The sequence below is a fragment of the Homo sapiens genome, chromosome 3 (assembly GCF_000001405.40).
Source record: "Homo sapiens chromosome 3, GRCh38.p14 Primary Assembly".
Lineage (NCBI taxonomy): Eukaryota > Metazoa > Chordata > Mammalia > Primates > Hominidae > Homo > Homo sapiens.
In genome coordinates this window covers 169,939,187-169,943,983 of record NC_000003.12, presented here as the reverse complement: position 1 = coordinate 169,943,983, position 4,797 = coordinate 169,939,187, and positions in this window count along the sequence as shown.

The following is a 4,797-nucleotide window of genomic DNA, read 5'->3' as shown; positions in this document are numbered from 1 at the left end:
CAGCATGTGCTCACTTTGTTAGCTTTTTCTTAAGCAATAAGATGTTTTTAAATTAAGGTAAGTACATTTCAAGAGACATAATACTATTGTACACTTAAACTATGGTATAGTGTAAACATAACTGTTATATGCACTGGGAAACCAGAAAATTCCTTTATTGCAGTGGTCTGGAACTGAATCTCAGATATCTCTGAGGTATGCCTGTATATTAAAAAGTGGTAAGATTTTTTTTTTTACAGTAACCAAGTGTTTTATGCTTTTGTTTTGTTTGATGAGAATAACTTCTAGCACTATGAAACAAATAGCTATTTAATTCAACAATCAGTTTAATAAACTTTTTGTAATCCCAGCTAGCAAAATAAAGTCACCTCTTAGGAAATGAGCCAAAGAGGAAGGTAAACTATTTTAGAAACGTAGTTTAAAATGTATATGTAGTGACAGAGCGAGACTCTGTCTCAAAAAAAAAAGTATATGTAGTTAAAAAATCTAAAAGCATCCATATTTTTTCAAAATGGCATTCAATGATGTTCAAGTAAACTATTTCCTTTACTCAGGAGATGAGTTTCTCACACCTGCACAATGACATCCTGTGGCTATTATCAGACATATCGGAGACCTTGGACCTTGTGTTGATTTATGTAGAGGATTCCCTTTCCAGAGGATATGCTGGATAAGTACAGCAAATTGACTGCAACGCTCTATAAAACAGATCTTTCATATATCTGTAATAAAATAACAGTGTACATATTTACCATAATGAGAAACTGCATTTGCTTGAAGTATAATACATTTTTAGTGTTAGTGGGCAGAGTAAAATATTCCATATATTTTAAATAACTAATGGAAACAATTTAATGGAATTTAAAAAATTTCATGTATTTAAAAATATAGTGTTTTTTTTTTTTTTTGAGACAGAGTCTTGCTCTGTTGCCCAGGCTGGAGTGCAGTGGCACAATCTTGGCTCACTGCAACCTCCACCTCCCAGGTTCAAGTGATTCTCCTGCCTCAGCCTCCTGAGTAGCTGGGATTACAGGCGTAAGCCACCACGCCCAGCCCTATACTCTTTTTTAAACATTGGTATCCACACTTATTCTATAACTCTTATAGCTATATGTTGGCTGTTTAGTAAACAGATTTTTTAAAACTTTTATTATGGAAAACCTCAAATATATACAAAAGTAGAGTGAATAGAATAGTGAACCTCATGTAGTCAAAACCCAGCTTCAATAAGTATCAACTCATGACTGAACTTATTTCACCCATAGTCCCAGTGATCTACCTACACCCTACCCACTCAACAGATTTTTGGAAGCAAATCCTTGTCATGATATTACTGGGAGAAATACTCTTTTTTGGGACTCTTGTTTCTATACATCTTGCTGGGTGGACCAAGAGACTGCAAGGCTCTAACTATTCTTTTACCAGAACCATTTCTCAAGGTTGATTATGTAGCTGGTAACCTTAAAAAATGGGTAATCCTTCCTTCCACACCCATCATCACCCCTGAACAAAGAGCAGGCTTGCTTACTGCTTGCTATAAAATTGGTCGTTTCCCCAAGTTGTGATCCTCAGCTGTGAAGCAAACCTACTGTATGGGCAGGTAGCCTCTGGGCCCCTCTGTATTGCTCTTGTAGCACCTAGGGGCAAAAGGAACCAATACACATATGCTGATGTTCATGCTGCTACTGTGTCATGAGTAATAAAGTTCTTTGTCTCTGACCCAAGAGGCTCATGTGTTCTGCCAGTCTCCATAAAATAATAGCAGGATAATTTATTAGGTTGGAGGCAGGATCAAATCTAATCCCAGATACCATATATCATTTTATCTGTACATATTTCAGTATATATTTTTAAAAAATAAGAAGTCTTTTAAAAAAGCTCACAATACTATATTTTTAACAAATAACAGTAATTTTTAATATCATTGAATATCCCAAATTGTGTTCAGATTTCCCTAATTGTTTCATTTTTTACAATGTATTTGAAAAAGGATTTAAATAAGTTTCATGATTATATTGGGTGATTTGAATTCAAAAAATTTTATTTTAGTAAAAAATATATAAAATTTGTAATTTTAACATACAAGTTGGTGGTATTAATTATATTCAGAATTTTGTGCAACCATCACCACTATTTCCAAAACTTTTACATCTGGGTTATTTGAATCTTAAGTATCTTTCTTTTAATCTACAGGTTTTCCTTTTCCCATTCCCTTGCATTTATTTGTTGGAGAAAATCAGGTCATTTCTACTATAGTTCCCCATAATTTGGATATTTACTATTTTTATAACTGCAGTGATGTTTAACATGTTCCTTTGTTCCCTGTATTTCCTGTAAATTGGTTTTTGGATCTAGAGGTTTATTTCGACTCAGGTTAATTTTTTTTTTTAATAAGACTTTCATTCATATGGGGTTTCATGGATTTCCATCAGATGGCACATGATGTCTGGTTATTTCTCTTTTCGAGATGTTAGCAGCCATTTATGACTACTGCCTAGATTGCTTATGTTTTAGGGGTGCATAATGGTGATATTCAAATTCTATTATTTCTCCTTAATAGCTATAATACTTCCCTAAAGGAAACAGCTGCATAGTACTCCATTGCCTGGATATTTACTCAATCAGTCTAAACATATTTCATAAGTCATAATTCCCTATTTATCAAACATAATTTTATTGTGATGGTTTTCCAACAAGAGAGAAGTTGTCATTGTTGTTGCTTTGTTTTTTATTCATAAAGAGTACAGAGTATGCTTCAAGCCTCAAGTGGCATTTCAGAAAAAGTTAAAAACTATTTCTAGATGATAATGTAAATAAAAATCCTCACCCTCCAAAATAATCTGTTCATAAAGTGTCCCTTTTGTTAAAACGTACCCAGGAGTCTTTAGAAGAAGACAATCTTGGTAGAAGGTAATCTTGGTAGGGACAAGCAATTTCAGTTTTATTCTCTTACAATGAAGAGTACTGAGAGCTGGGGAGGGCCTCCTTTACATGTGTTCTTCTGGTTCTTTTTTAAATGCATGGACCTAAAATTAAGCACAGTGGTTTTTTCTGGTGATAGTACATGCCAAGATGGCATATCGGAACATTTTCCTTAGAGCAACATTGAGATACATCTGTGCAAATCAATCAATTACCAACTCAATGGACTTATTTAGCAGCAATACGAAACTCAAAAGTCATCATAGTGATTGAACCTCATTATCACTTTGCCATTAAAAATATTAAGCATTTCTTTTTATCCCTCACCACAGCATCTGTAACTCACACCTGGCATTTTGTGAAACTTCTGTTTGCTGGGTAGTATAGCAGGTGAAATGTCACGTGACCAAACAGTTCTTCGGTACACTGAGCATCAGATGAATAAAAAGAGGGAAAGAGGAAGTGAAGCATTTTTCAAGTTATTTTTAGTAAAAATCTTGCCACTCGTTATTCATTGGCTTATTGCCATCTTAAATAACTTAAAAAAGACATATTTTTGAAATATGGGAGGATTTTCTGTCTGTCCCTGTCTCTCTTTCAGCAAAGGGACCAAGAGAGTAAAGTAACAATTCACAAATACATGTGATGGTTTCATACAGTTTTTGTCAGAAGAAAAACCTGTTGTCTTAGTAAAAATGAAAGAAATGGAAGCTTAACTAAATTAGGCTTATAGGAAAATGATTTCAAAAGCCCACCTTCCAAATCAAAAAGTGAATGTGGGTAGCATGCAATTTGTGTTTACTAAATGCAACTTAATTTGTTTGTTTTAGTACTCCATTATTGTGAAATAAATTACTTCAAAACTTAGTGGCTGAAAACAACACACATTTATTATCTTACAGTTTCTGTGGGTCAGAAATCCAGAGTGGCTTAGCTGGGGGCCTCTGGCTGAGGGTCTCTCATGAGCTGCCATCAAGCTGTGGGCTGGAGCTGAGGCACCTTCAAGTTTCCTTACATGGCTGTTGGCAGCGTCAGAAGATCCATTTCCAAGTTAATGTGGGGCTCTCCACAGGGCTGCCTGGAGACAAAGAATCTGGCTTCCCCAAGAGTGAGAAATCCAGAGAGAGAGAGAGAGCGAGCACCCAAGACAGAAGCCACAAAAGTGACATCCCATCTATCACGCCTTCTGTATTCTGTTCATTAGAAAAGCCTCAATACCCCCAGCCCGCCCTCAAGCGGAGTAGATCACACAAGGGCTTGGGATACCAGGATGCAGGGATCCTTGTGGGCCATCTCAGAGGCTGCTTTCTAGAGTTTGCTCATGTTAAATGTAAATTTTTTAAATAGAAAATATATTCTCATGGTTAAAAATTCAAAATGTTCAAGAATGTATATGGTAAGAAGACTTCATATCCTGTTAGCCAATCCCCTCCTTGAGCAAACTGTCATCATTTTCTTGTTTATCCTTTCAGAGACATTCTGTTAAACATCAAGTTGAAAATGTGGGATTCCACAGGGTGTGAGCAGAGAGCACTCCACCTTGCCAGCTCAAACCTGCTTTGCAGAGATAACTTCCCCACCCCTTGGATGAAATCTCAAGTGGATACTATGACTTTTCACCTCCCTCTCAGATAAAAAGCAGTCCTCCAGTCACTTTCAGTCATAACATAGTTGTATTTCAGAAATAAAATACCTAGTCATGAATAATATTCAAACTCGATTTTTTTTTTTTTTTTTGAGACAGAGTCCTGCTCTGTCACCCAGGCTGGAGTGCAGTGGCACGATCTCAGCTCACTGTAGCCTCCGCTTCCCAGGTTCAAGCAATTCTCCTGCTTCAGCCTCCCGAGTAGCTGGGACTACATTCGCGCACCACCA